This window comes from Homo sapiens, chromosome 2, assembly GCF_000001405.40.
Source record: "Homo sapiens chromosome 2, GRCh38.p14 Primary Assembly".
Classification (NCBI taxonomy): Eukaryota; Metazoa; Chordata; class Mammalia; order Primates; family Hominidae; genus Homo; species Homo sapiens.
Window position 1 is genome coordinate 110,743,583 of NC_000002.12, and position 14,356 is coordinate 110,757,938.

Genomic DNA, 14,356 nt, shown 5'->3' on the forward strand with positions numbered 1-14,356 from the left:
TTCAGTGCTGCCAGGCCTTTGGTGGGACACGGGATCCTCGATTGACCAGGACTGAGGCTGGCGGAAGGACCAATGCACCATTCAGAGCACTTTGCACCATTTCTTTGAGATCATCCATAATTTCTGTGTCTCCGCCCAAGGCTTTCAGAATTTTTCCTAGCCCTTAGAACTCCCCTCACCTGCCTTCCCTTGTGGTGCCTTCCGGAGCTGCCACATCACCACAGGGATGATTTCTATTCTTGTGAATGTGCCTACACATTTCTCCTCTTCTGCTCCTCCCAGTGAAATCCCACTGGCTGACTTGGGGCAGCAGACAGCACCTTCTGTTCTATCCTGTGATTTCCTCTTGAAGTAAAATGCTCAGTCCTTTTAGGGGGCTCTCCTTCTGCTGGGTACAATTGGGGTGCTGCCTCTGGGGCCCCCCAGGCACTGACCCTGCACCCTGCAGCAGATGTCCCACACCTAGGCCCTGCCTCCTAGTTGTGCCCTGTCTGCAGCCAAAGAACTCTGGCTGATACCTGCTCAGTGGAGAAAGAGAGAGAGAGAGAAAGAGAGAGAGAAGAGAGAGAAAACGAGGGAAAGAGTGCAAGAGAGCACTATTCAGCGAAGTGCATTAAAACTCTTGCTTGTAAAAGGCCAAGAGACCCAGTGGTCCCACTTTACCCTCAAGGTGCTCTGGGCCCAAGGAACATAGTTGGTGGCATGATTTTTTATGTCTTATAATTTACTTGACTATTAAAGGTGGCAGTAATAAAGTTTAGAAAGGGAATTATTTTGGCAAAAAATGTAGAGAGGACAGAGTTAGGAGGTGGGATCTGCAGGGTTTGACATTATATGTTATGTGTGCTAATGTAATATGAGACATTCCCTTCTCAAAGGAATTTGAGGTGAAGAAAATGGTGAGCTGGTGGTAATTTCTTTTGCTTCCTCATCAAGCACAGTATCAGTGAGGTAAGCACTTGTCCTTACTTCACGTCCCCTCCCTACATTACCTACAACCTTCTCCCACAGTTGACCAGTCACTTCACACTCCTCCCACACTTTGCCATAGGACCTATCTTGTAAACCCTGGAGGAAGCCATTCAGGCATAGCCACCGTCTGGCCACAGGAGTTGGTTCAGAAACAGTCATGTGACCTGACTGTAGTCAATGAAATAGGAGGGGAGGAGGTTTTTTGGTGTGCCGGCAAAAGACACTTCCTTGCTTACTTGCGAGATCTGTCAGAGGGGCATACTCTCTCATCTTGGAGAGGGTGGAGTTTGAGTATGAAGCTAGCCCTGGTGCAGCCATTTTGTCATTTTGAGGGAGACCACCTCTAGGATGAAGTGGCCCATGGAGGCAGAGTAGACAGACACTAAGTTCTAGGACACACTTGAGCCTCAGAATCAAACCTGCTCTGAAGCCTGCCCCAAGTTTGCCTTGCCAGTTCCCTGAGGTAGCAACTGCCCTTTACCGTTCAGGTTAATGCGAGTTGGTTTTCTGTTGCTTGCAACCCTAAGCACTGTTATTAGCATAAGTAGTTGCTCCTGTTTCAGTTGCAGAGTCAGAAATGCAGCTCACATTGGCCTCAGGTGTGGAGGCTGGAATCCAGGTGCTTGGGTGGCACTTTCAGGAATCCCCTGACCTGCTCTCTTCCTGTCCAGACAGGCCCTGTCCACCTCGTGGCCTTCAGAGCTATGGCACATGTGCAACAGCTCAGCAGCCAGGCAGGAAGAGAGGGACCCTTTTTGGTTTTCAGCCTGACCAACCCAGCTGGCCATTGCTCTTCCTTGCAGTGGTCACTGGGGCCAGGAGCAAGGATTGGCCCAGTCTAGTCAGTGTCTGCCCACACCAGAAGGTGGGGGGTCAACAACCAGCATCATGTAGTTTGGGCAGAGGGAGTGGGTGTCTGCAAGGGAAAATGGGTGATGTAGCTCGGGGAAGGGACAGCAGATGCTTTCCCTTAGTCTCTGGACCATTCTAGTGATTGAAGTAATGTCACAGAAGAGAGCCCGGGAAGCCACAGGTCAGGCATTTCTGCCTTAAATGGGAAGTTAGTGGGGGTTCTACTACCTTCCTTTTCTGTGACTTTGATCTGAAGATCAGCAATATTTTTGTTTTTCTGGGTAGACGCTTGCCGACTGATTCCAAATGAAAATATTACCCGTGCAAGGAACCAATGTCTGACTAAAGAGATGAAGTGTCATCAATACCCATTCCTCACTGCTTCTGAAAGTGGCTGCAATTCTGAGGAAACCTGGACTGGTTTTCTAGCTAAAGTCATTCTTACTGTGTCTTGAGAGTGCAGAACTTTGATCTGCACCATAGTCAGGGAAAGCAGCCACCTCTGCCCCTTTCTTTTCCTGCAAGGGGACTGGAGAGTCTCCTGTCACCTCCTGTTAGTGTGTATCATTTTTATTTTTCTTTACCCTGTTGCACTGAGTGTTGATAGTATCTCTTCTCTTTAAGTCTCTTCTCTGTATCCTCTACCTTACAACGTCAAGGCTGGCAAGATTTATACTCTGTTCTCACTCTACAAGTAAAGCTTTGCCCATGGGTTGAGACCAGGAGTTGAGAATGGTGCTTACCCAGATTACAGCTGTAGACAGATGTTGACTGCAGAGCTGAGCAGGGGACTCCGATTGCCGTCCTTCTCTTCATAACAATGCCTTTACGGAACATATGCAAACCTCTGTTTTTTTTCAACAGTGTCTATGGGCTTATTGTGAATGCTGCAGAAATCACTGAGACCCCCAGATCCCTGGCTGTTCTCTCTGCCCCTCCTGATAGCCATGGGAGAATATTGACTCAACCTTTCCTTTGTCCCTAAGTGATCTCAGACCCCAAGATCCAACTACAATTCAGATTGTAGTTGGCCCTTGAGGGAATCGCCATGTCCACCTTCCTACTTCCCATTTACTTGTAAATGGACAAGTAAGTGCATGAGTGGCTCCCAGATTCCAGCATGGGACCCGGCTCCTGGGCATGTTGCCTGCCTCCATGAGGGGGCTTCCTCCACATGTACGTCGAATGGATTTGTTGTTGAAGACGATGAGTTTGCACCGTAGACGCCTGCAGAATTGGTGCACAGTCACGCTCCACCATGAAGGAAATAATGTATACAGTGGTCTCTTTCCAAGACAAAGTGCCTTAAATTGACTTAGGTCAGCGAACTACCGAAGAAACAGGATATACTAGGCCCCTGCTTAAATAGCGGATGCCTGCTTGTCGGCCTCCCCCTTTCCCCCTCTTCTCCCCCCGCCCTTTAGTTGCCTTCACCTGAACCAAAAAAGTTTAGTCTAAGATGAAAGCTTACTAGTCTCCAAAATAGCTCACTTTATCTGTTCTTATCAGCCTGCCCAGCTACTTAGGTCATAAGTCAAATGTACTTGAAGAGCCCTGAGCTAACTAGGATTGCAATGTACTGTGGGCTGAAATAAAATGCAGCAAAAGAACCCTAAAAAAGACATCTAAAGCCCCTACCCAACAATCAGTTGGTGACATCCAGGAAGATTGTGACCCCATAGTACTCAACCTATGAGGAACTGGGGGAGGGACCTGCACACTAGGGGATGAATTGCTTGTTGAAACTGTGCTGGGTCTGCCTGCCTATCAGACGCCTGATCTTACAAGACTGTCATTAAAAGTCTCACTTTGGCTGTTTTCTGGGTCTCTGAGTCCATTCTTTGGGTTTGGATGGGTGAGTTTGTTTCTAACAACTAGAGACATCCTTTGGGTGACCAATTGCATCATATTTAAACGACAGCCAGAAACAAGGAGCCTGCAAGCCAGCAGACTCAGCCATCCCATGGGCAGAGTGCAGCCTCAGGAGGGAGTCAGGCCTGGTTATATCCATTGGCCACAGGACTGGGTGCATCCTCTGGTGTGTTTAACAGCTGGGGCTGCACACCCACTTTTGTTTTCTCAGCTAGCCTCTCGTGTGCCATTCTAGCCACAGTGTCTCCTAAATTCACACTATAAAAATAACCGTCCTCGTTTCAAGCAACAAATTTCATTTCTAAGCTGATCACTTTCCTGGAGGTTGGGACCCTGTGATGACCTGAGTCAATCAGACGTGCCCTGGGGCTGGGCAGTGGAGTGACCTACCTCAGAATCCTGGCAGGGGAGGAAGAGCCACCAGCAGTGTCTGCCAAAACCGACATACCTTTACCTAGTGAAGAAATGTTTTTGTGTTTTTTTTATGGCTTGTGTTGTTGTCTTAGGAGGTTATATCTGTTTGCATCTCTGCTCATGTGGTCCTGTTTCTCCCTTTACTTCCTGTCTGCTCCCTTCCAGCCCTTTCTACCTTACCACCTCCTCCCCATTCTCTCCTCCTGGGGGCCTCCTCTCTCTGCCCACATATGCCCCTCTTATTGGCATCTGCAGAGGAATATGGTTCTCACTCTGTCTTCTTGCCACCCCTGCAGCTCATCCTGACAGTAAGTACAGGTAGTTGCTGCACTAAAGGTTTTCTTCTGCAGAAAACAACCATGCCATCCATCCCCTGTGAGGCGGCAGAGCCCTGGCCACGTGGGGCTTAGTGATAATGTGAAAAATTTCTCTCCCTGTCTTGGTGGGACACTCCTGCTCCTCTGTCTTCTATGCTAGAGTCTGAGCTCTCTGAGGAGAGGAATGGGCCAAGGTATCTTGGATTCTTCCTACTTAGCGTGGTGCAGGTGCCTAATGAAAACTTAAGTAAGGAGGCAAGGAAACAAGGAAAGATGGGAGAAAGGAAGGCTGGAGAGGGAGTGTCCCTTTTCCTCACTGCACTCCGTGGAGTGCCCAGGATGCAGGGGGGTGGATTGGAAGTGCCTATCAGGCTTTATCTCTGGTGCAGGGGATCTTTTCTTCCTCTGCCTCCCTTTTTCTATCTCCTGAGTCTTTCTTCCCTGCTACCTTTGTAGACTTTGCCAATTAGCAGCTGTACATTTCCCCGGCTGAGTGACTTCACAACTGAAATTAAACCACAGTACTTAGAAAGCCCTGTCTTCGCATTTTCTCAGTCTCCCTTGCTGGTTCAGAGCTTGCAGTGTTTGCCAGTTACCACAAGATGATTAAACAGTTTCTGTTTCCATTCACCATCAATTCATCAGGCTGTGCAGGTGGCTCCTGGGAGTGGGGTGAATGCTTTGGCGGTAGGAGGTTGAGCTGTGGGTGCAGCTGCGGTGTTTATGCAGCTGTGGTGTTTACTAGAAGGCAGATGGTTTCTTTGCTCTCCGCCTTTGGGGATTTGTTCTTCATGCCCACCTGTCATTTGTGTGACTGCTTGGCCGTGGTTTCACCTTGTTGGTGTTGGACATAAAGCATTTTTTATTCTTGCCGTTTTCAACAAGAAGAGAATGCTGTAGGGAATTATCACAGGCTGAATCGGAGGTGTTTCTGGAAGCAAACTTGCAAAAGGGACCAGGAAAAAGGGGCAGGTTATTAAAGCAGGAGCATGCTGTGAAAGCAGCTTGATTTTGAAGTTCGTGTTGATGCTTAATTCCAGAATGTCTGTGCTACCTGGAATCATTCTGTGGTCGAAGGGTGGACACCTAGGGTGTCCCTGGTCATGATGGCATTCAAATTTGGTATCTGAAGATGTGTTTTCCACTAGATCAAAATTGATTTTTGATTTAGATTTTGAGAAAACCATGCACAAAGACTGTTTTTAAAAATGTTTCAGCTTTTTGTTTTCATTTTTAATGCACAAAGGTCATTTTGTTGTTTGTGTTGCCTTGGCTATTCCTTCTTTTTAAAATAAACTTTTTATTTTGCAATAATTTTCAGTGTATAGAAAAGTTACAAAGCATAGTACAGAGATTTGCCATATATCCTCCCCTGTTGTTAACATCTTACACAACCATAGCACATTTGTCAAAACGAAGACAGCAGCATTGACAGGCCGGACAGGGTGGCTCACGCCTGTAATCTCAGCACTTTGGGAGGCTGAGGCCGGTGGATCACTGGAGGTCAGGAGTTCGAGAGCAGCTTGGCCAACATGGCGAAACCCTGTCTCTACTAAAAATACAAAAACATTAGCTGGGCACGGTGGCGGGCACTTGTCATCCCAGCTAATCTGGAGGCTGAGGCAAGAGGATAATTTGAACTAGGGAGGTGGAGGTTGCAGTGAGCCGAGATCGCGCCACTGCACTCCAGCCTGGGTGACAGAGGGAGACTGCATCTCAGAAAAACAAAGCAGCATCTATTAAACTCTAGACTTGGTTTGTATTTCTTTAGTTTTCCCACTGGTGGTCGATTTCTGCTCCAGGGTCCTATCCAGGATGCCACACTGTGTTTTGCTGTCACACGTCCTCAGGGTCCCCTGGTCTGTGACAGTTCCTCTGTCTTTCATGCTTTCCATGACCTGGCTGTTTTGAAGAGTACTGGTCAGGTGTTTGTCAAATGTCTCTCAATTTGGGTTTGTCTGTGTTTTCCGTATGACTAGACTGGAATTATGGGTGTTGGGAAGAATATCCTGAGCATCACATCGTATTAGTGAGTACATTCCATCGACATGGCTTATCCCTGGTGATGTTTGTAGTGCTTGTCAGGTTTCTCCACTGTACAGTTACCTTTTCCTTCTCTGGAAACTAGTCATTCAATCTGTCCAACATTCAAGTTGGGTGAGTGGGTAGGTGGGGCTAGTTAAGCTCCATTTTCTGGAGGAGAGAGTATCTACACAAATTATTTCTTATAGGAGGTTGATCTCTTTCCCCCATGTATTTATTTATTAAATCATTTACTTATATCAGTATAGACTAACATGTTTATTTTATATTTTGGGTTACAATCTAACAGCACATTTTTGTTGCTCAAATTGTTCCAGCTTTGGCCATTGGGAGTTTCGGGCTCATCTTATATTTTCCCTGCCCCTGTCCTAGAATCAGCCATTTATCCAAGGAGCCCTAGTTTCTTTTATTTGAGAACGGTATTTAGAAACCAACTTTTGTGCACAAAGTTCTTACTTAAGAAAACAATGGCCCTACCATAATTCCATTTCTGATCATCTACTTTTTTCCACTACTATATATATACATATATATACATTACATATTATACATATTATATATAAACATATACATATTATATATAAACAAATACACATATATTTGTGTGTGTATGTGTATGGGTGTGTGTGTGTATATATATATATATGTATAATTTTTTTTTTGAGACAGGATCTTGCTCTGTTGCTCAGGCTGGAGTGCAGTGGCACAATCCTGGCTCAGTGCAGCCTTGACCTTCCAGGCTCAAGTGGTCCTCCCACTGCAACCTCCTGAGTAGCTGAGACTACAGGTGCCCCACTAATTTTTGTATTTTTTGTAGAGATGGGGCTTCGCCATGTTGCCCAGGCTGATCTTGAACTCCTCAGCTCAAACGATTCGCCTGCCTTGGCCTCCCAAAGTTCTGGGATTACAAGTGTGAGCCACCATGCCTGGCCCCAACACTTTATATTTAAAAATTTAGACATGCGGCTGGGCGCGGTGGCTCACGCCTGTAATCCCAGCACTTTGGGAGGCCGAGGCAGGCGGATCATGAGGTCAGGAGATTGAGACCATCCTGGCTAACATGGTGAAACCCCATCTCTACTAAAAAAATACAAAAAAATTAGCCAGGCATTGTAGCGGGTGCCTGTAGTCCCAGCTACTTGGGAGGCTGAGGCAGGAGAATGGCGTGAACCTGGGAGGCGGAGCTTGCAGTGAGCCGAGATCGTGCCACTGCACTCCAGCCTGGGCGAGAGCGAGACTCCGTCTCAAAAAAAAAAAAAAAAAAAAAAAAATTTAGACATGCACAAAAATGGGAAGACCTTGACATTGAGGATCTTTATATCCACTACCTAGATTCTGGCATTAACATGCTACTATACTTGCTTTATCACGTATTTGCCCATCTATTGATCTCTCTATTCACCATATCCCATTTTTGGGTTTTTGGGTGCATTTCAAAATTACTAACATAAATATTCTTCCCCCTAAATAACTCAGTGTGCATACTGCTAAGAAGACTTCAATACATGCCAGATCTTTTTCATTTGCTGTAGAACTTCATACAATGAAATGCAAAAATCTTAAGTGTACATTCTCAGGGCTTTGCCAAATATATACACCTATGTAACCCAACCCCTATCAAAATACATAGAACATTATCATCGCCCCAAAAAGTTCTCTTATACCCTTGCCAGTCAACCCTTGCCTCCACCCTCCTGGAGGTAACCACGGTTGTGTGTGTTTTTCACCCCAGTATTGGTTAGTTTTGTCTGTTTTAGAACTTATTATCAGAATCACACAATTTGTTGACTCAACATATTTTAGTGGTATATTAATTCAATTTAATCTTGTATAACGATGAAAATGAATGAACCACAACTACAACAGATACTAAAGATGACTCTTAATTAGCCATTGCTAAGTGAAAGAAGCCAGACACAAAAGAATACATAGTAGATAATCCCATTTCTTTTCTTTCTTTCTTTCTTCTTCTTTTTTTTTTTTTTTTCCAGATGGAGTCTTGCTCTGTCTCGCCCAGGCTGGAGTGCAATGGCACGATCTTGGCTCACTTCAGCCTCTGCCTCCTGGGTTCAAGCAAGTCTCCCTAGCTGGGACTACAGGCATGTGCCACCACACCTGGCTAATTTTGTATTTTTAGTAGAGACAGGGTTTCACCATATTGGCCAGGCTGGTCTTGAACTCATGACCTCAGGTTATCCATCTGCCTTGGCCTCTCAAAGTGCTGGGATTACAGATGTGAGCCACCGCACCTGGCCTATTTCTTTAATATTCAAAATACAAAAAATACGTTGGGCATGTTGGTGTACTTATAGTCCCAACTACTTGGGAGGCTGAGGAAGGAGGATCGCTTGAGGCCTGGAGTTCAAGACAAGCCTGGGCAACATAATGAGACCCTGTCTCAAAATAAATAAATAAAAGAAGTAAAAAATAATTTATGAAGTTATAAGGCAGGATAGCAGCTAGCACTTTCGGAGAGAGAAAGTAGTGATTGAGGGGGATCTTGTATGCTGGTCCTGGAATGTGATTTTCCTTGGCTTGGGTGTGGATTACACAGTTGAAGTTACTTTGCGATAATTCACTGGGCTGTACATTTACGACTCATGCCTCTGTTCTTGTTGCATTGTATGTTGCTACAGTGCTTTAAAAATAAGATACTTGTCATGTCCGTCAATTTTGTGTGTGTGCATGACACTACTGTGTGTATTAGCTATCTACTGATATGTAACAAATTACTCCAAAATTTAGCAGCTTAAACCCCAATATATATTGTCTCACGCAGTGTCTGTGGGTCAGGAATTTCAGTGTCTTAATTGGGTGGCGCTGGGTCAGGCTCTCCCATAAGGTTGCATTTAGGATGTTGGCCCTGGCTTGACTGGGGCTGGAAGAGCCACTTCTACAATGGCTCATTGATATAGTTTGGATGTTTTTCCCTTCCAAATCTCATGCCTGATGTTGGAGGTGGGACCTAGTGGGAGGTGTTTGGGTCATGGGGGCAAATTCTTCATGAATGGCTTGGTGCTGACCTCCTGCTGGTGGTGAGTTCTCACTCTATTAGTTCACTTGAGAGCTGGTTGTTTAAATGACTCTGGCACCTCCTCCTCTCTTTCTTACCCCCTCTCTTGCCATGTGACACACCTGCTCCCCTTTTGCCTTCTACTTCTACCATGAGTAGAAGTAGAAACCCTCACTGAGGCCTCATCAGAAGCCGAGCAAATGCTGATGCCATGCTTGTACAGCCTGCAGAATTGTGAGCCAAATAAACCTCTTTTATTTATAAATTACCCAGTCTCAGATGTTCCTCTATAGCAATGCAAAGTGGACTAATACACTCATTGACAGGGCTATTGGAATGAGACCTCAGTTCCTCTCCAGGTGGACTATTTATAAGGCTACTTGAGTGTCCTCACATCTTGGCAACTGGTTTCCTCCAGAGCAAGTGACCCACAAGAGCACAGTACAATGTTTCCTAGGTTAATATATGTCATTTATTGTGTATCAGCAGTATGTTCCTTTTTATTGCTAAGTAGCATTCCATCCTCTGAATAGATCATAGTTTACCAATTCTATTGATGGACACCAGGGCTGTTTCTAGTTTGGAGCTATTATGAATAAAGCTGATAAGAACATTCTTCTATGACAATTTGTGTGGGCATGTAATTTTATTTCTCTTGGATAAATACCTAGGAATGTAATTGTCAGGTCATGGGATAGGTATCTGTTTAATTTTATGAAATCTATGAGATCTTTTTCCAAAGTGGTTGTACCATTTTACATTTTTATGACAAAGTATGACAGTTATAATTGCTCCACGTCTTTGTCAAAATTTTGTGTTGTCATTATTTTAAAAATTTAGCCATTTGAGTAGGTGCATATTATTATTTCATTGTGGCTATAATTTGCATTCCTATGATGCCTGATGATTTTGAGCACTTTCTCGTGTGCTTGCTGGTCATTTATATATCCTCTTGCACATGCACACGTGTGTGTGTGTGTGTGTGTGTGTGTGTAGTTCTGTGAATTTTTTTTTTTTTTTTTTTTGAGATAGGGTCTCACTCTGTCACCCAGGCTGGAGTGCAGTGGCATGATCTTGGCTCACTACAGCCTCAACATCCTGGGATCAAGCAATCCTCCCACCTCATCCTCCGAAGTAGCTAGGACTACAGACATGCACTACCATACCTGGGCCATTTTTAAATTTTTTGTAGAGAAGGGGCCTAGCTGTGTTGCTGGGCTGGTCTGGAACTCCCAGGCTCAAGCAATTCTTGTGCCTCAGCCTCTCAAAGTGCTGAGATTACAGGTGTGAGCCACCATGCTGCCCAGCCTAGTTCTATGAGAGTTTATTCCCTATGTAGTATTGTGTTACCAACACCATGATGAGGGCACACAACATCACAAAGAAACTCCCCTTTGTTTTCCCTTCAGAATCAGAATCCCCATAGTCCTAACCCCAGCAGCAACTGATATGTTCTCCATTACCTTAATTTTGTCACTTTGAAAATTTATAAAATTGGAATTATGTAATATGTAACTGTTTTGAGATTGGCATTTTTTCACTCAACACAATGCCCTATCCAAGTTATTGTGATCTATCCAAGTTGTGTGTGTCAGTGGTTCATTCCTTTTAATTGTTGAGTAGTATTCCATTGTATGGATGTGTCACAGTTTGTTTATCCATTTGCCAGTGGCATTTGGGTTGTTTCCAGTTTTTGATGATTGCAAATAAAGCTGCTGTAAACATTTATGTACAGGTTTTAAAAATAATTTTTGTAAACAAAGAATTTCTCCTAGGGTGTATACCTGGGATTGCGATTGCACATGAAAAGTCTATGTTTAACTTCATAACAAACTGTCAAACTTTTCTAGAGTTCCATTTTACACTCCTACCTCCAGCGAATGAGGGGTCTAGTTGCTCAGCATGCTTGTTAACACTTGGTATGGTCAGCATTTGTTTTGCCACCTTGCCAGGCTTCCTAGAGAGATCTCTCTCTCTCTCTCTTTTAGCTTAGAGGTTTGCAGGCTTATTCTTAGTCATGGGACCGTTTTACAACCTGAATCCTGCACAGAACACCAATAGGGAAGTCAGATGATGGTGGAGCTGCTGGCCAGAGCTAGGCCCTCCCTAGACCTCATCACATCTCCAACAGCTGTCCCCAGATGACCCTCACATGTGAGGCCTGACTCCCACCCCCAGAACTGATGCCATAAACCCAGGGCCGCTGCCTGCAGCCTGAGATCTAGGAACACTAATATTTGCCTAATCTCCATATCTTAGAGACCCAAGAAGACATAAAAGAGAAATTATAGCTGAGAACATGTCAAAAAATCATTGTTTATGATTTTATATGCCATTGTTATACAGATGGTATTTGAGGAAAACTACCAAGATTGTTAAATGTGGCGGTTTATATTTGAAGACAGAAAATACACAACTATGCATGTTGCTTAGGGGATTGGAGCATAAGGATGTTTCTAAAATCCTGATTTTTCCGCGGCAGATTGTCACCTGTTTGCTCGAACAGTGTTAGCAATTTAGATATTATTATTATGATAAACCGGTGTTCAAGCTTTCAGCTAGTTTCCAGAATACATTTTTATCCAGCTTTAATTTATTTATGAATTTGTTATGGCAGCAGTTCAAATGAGGAACATACTCCATCTAGTGGTTCTTTTTAACTATGCAATTTAAAATAAAATTTAAACATTTATTTGAAATAGGTGTTATTTTAACTTGGTTCAAAAGTCAGAAAGCATAAAAAAATAGAGTACTGTTTCCCATCTACTGAATTTTCCCACCTCCACCCCACATACCCAAAAGGTAAAAACTGTTAGTTTCTAGTGTGTCCTTAAAGAAATTAAAAAAAATACACACACATGCAAGCAATATGTGTATTGTTAATCACTATTTCTGTCCATATAACATTATTCTCATCCCTTGTAGGGCATTTTGGGAATGGGAATGAGAATAGACCTATAATTAGAATTGTCTAACATGTCTCTGTTGAGAAATTTATTTGATATAAGGAATTCGGGTGTTAATAGTTGAGAGCTGTTTAGTAATAGCCCACTTTTCTTAAGGCCTCTTTTTTTTTTCTGAAGCAGAGTCTTGCTCTGTTGCCCAGGCTGGAGTGCAATGGCACGATCTCGGCTCACTGCAACCTCCGCCTCCCGGGTTCAAGTGATTCTCCTGTCTCAGCCTCCCGAGTAGCTGGGATTACAGGTGCCCGACACCACGCTCGGCTAATTTTTTTCTATTTTTAGTAGAGACGGGGTTTCGTCATGTTGGCCAGGCTAGTCTCAAACTCCTGACCTCAGTTGATCCGCCCACATTGGCCTCCCAAAGTGTTGGGATTACAGGTATGAGCCACCGCACCGTGTCAAGGTCTGTTTATTTTATAGGTTTTGATCATTTCTTCAGTTCCTTTGGGCGATGTGTGTATTATCTGTGCATTAGTGGCCCTCATCTACTGATTTCTTGGATTAAAATTATGAAATAATTCTTCAGGTTTTATTTTAATACTTTGTGGTTTTATTTTTCTTCATGTCAATTGTTGATCTATTTGGAATTTATTCTAGTACGTGGTGTGAAATGGGGATCTGACTTAATTTTCCTTTCCAGTTGGCCACCCAGCTGGATGTTTCAGTAATGTTTGTTTTTCCCATGATTTGATATACCACATTTGTCTTACATATATTAAATTTCCATATATACTTACTTCTGTTTCTCAATATTCTATTTTATTCTATTGGTCTATCTGCCTGTTTTGCACAATTTGAGTTACTTAAGGCCTTATCACACATCTTTTTAAAAAAAATTTTACGGGAGATTTGCCCCTTTTATTTTTTCTTCAGCTTTTTTTAAATTCAGGGGTACATGTGCAGGATGTGCACATTTGTTACATAGGTAAACGTGGGCCGTGGTGGTTTGCTGTACAGATCATCTCATCATCTAGGTATTCAGCCCAGCATCCATTAGCTATTCTACCTGATGCTCTCCCTCCTCCAACCCCCCCCAAGACAGGCTCCAGTGCATGTTGTTCTCACCATGTATCCATATGTTCTCATCATTCAGCTCCCACTTATAAGTGAGAACATGTGCTGTTTTGGTTTTCCATTCCTGCATTAGATTGCTGAGGATAATGGCTTCCAACTTGTCCATGTTCCTGCAAATGTCCTAATCGCATTCCTTTGTATGTCTGCATAGTATTCCATGGTATATATGTACCACATTTTCTTTATTCAGTCTATCATTGATGGGTATTTAGGTTGATTCCATGTCTTTGCTAATGTAAATAGTGCTGCAGTGAACATATGCATGCATGTATCTTTATAATAGAATGATTTATATTCCTTTGGGTATATACCCAGTATTGGGATTGTGGGGTCAATTGGTATTTCTGCATCTAGGTCTTTGAGGAATCACCACACTGTCTTCCATGGTGGTTGAACTAATTTACACTTTTACCAACAGTGTAAAAGTGTTCCTCGTTCTCCGCAACCTCGCCGGCATCTGTTGTTTTTTCACTTTTTAATAATCAACATTCTGACTGATGTGAGCTGGTATCTCATGGTTTTGACGTGCATTTCTCTAATGATCAGTGATGTTGAGCCTTTTTTCATATGTTTGTTAGCCACATGTATGTCTTCTTTTGAGAAGTGTCTGTTCAGGTCCTTTGCCTACCTTTTAATGGGGTTTTTTTTTTTCTTGTCAATTTGTTTAAGTTCCTCATAGACTCTGGATATTAGACTTTCGTCAGATAGATCGATTGCAAGAATTTTCTCCCATTCTGTAGGTTGTTCACTCTGATGATAGTTTCTTTTGCTGTCCAGGAGCTCTTTGGTCTAATTAGATCCGATTCGTCAATTTTTGCTTTTGTTGCAGTCATTTT

General features: G+C 43.5%; 1 protein-coding gene across 27 annotated transcripts in view, besides 2 other annotated features; it reads left to right on the forward strand.

The window, feature by feature from the left end:
• Positions 1-14,356, forward strand: part of ACOXL (acyl-CoA oxidase like) — a 385,976-nt gene that overhangs the window by 11,010 nt on the left and 360,610 nt on the right. The window contains exon 1 of one of the 27 annotated variants that reach the window (XM_011511406.4): positions 4,192-4,418. The exons of the other annotated variants lie outside the window; for them this stretch is intronic. The gene's annotated coding sequence lies outside the window, so the exon portion shown is untranslated. Of the gene's footprint in view, positions 1-4,191; positions 4,419-14,356 lie in introns of those variants that run through there. 27 annotated transcript variants of the gene reach the window in all.
• Positions 4,903-5,162: an enhancer, noted in NCBI's record as "active region_16374". NCBI's record gives its function as "activates an Ori minimal core promoter by ATAC-STARR-seq in GM12878 lymphoblastoid cells {active_cell/tissue: GM12878}" and the evidence as "EXISTENCE:reporter gene assay evidence [ECO:0000049][PMID:35858748]".
• Positions 9,178-9,679: an enhancer, noted in NCBI's record as "NANOG-H3K4me1 hESC enhancer chr2:111510337-111510838 (GRCh37/hg19 assembly coordinates)". NCBI's record gives its function as "activates a minimal SCP1, AML or CMV promoter by ChIP-STARR-seq in primed H9 embryonic stem cells {active_cell/tissue: H9 hESC(primed)}" and the evidence as "EXISTENCE:reporter gene assay evidence [ECO:0000049][PMID:30033119]".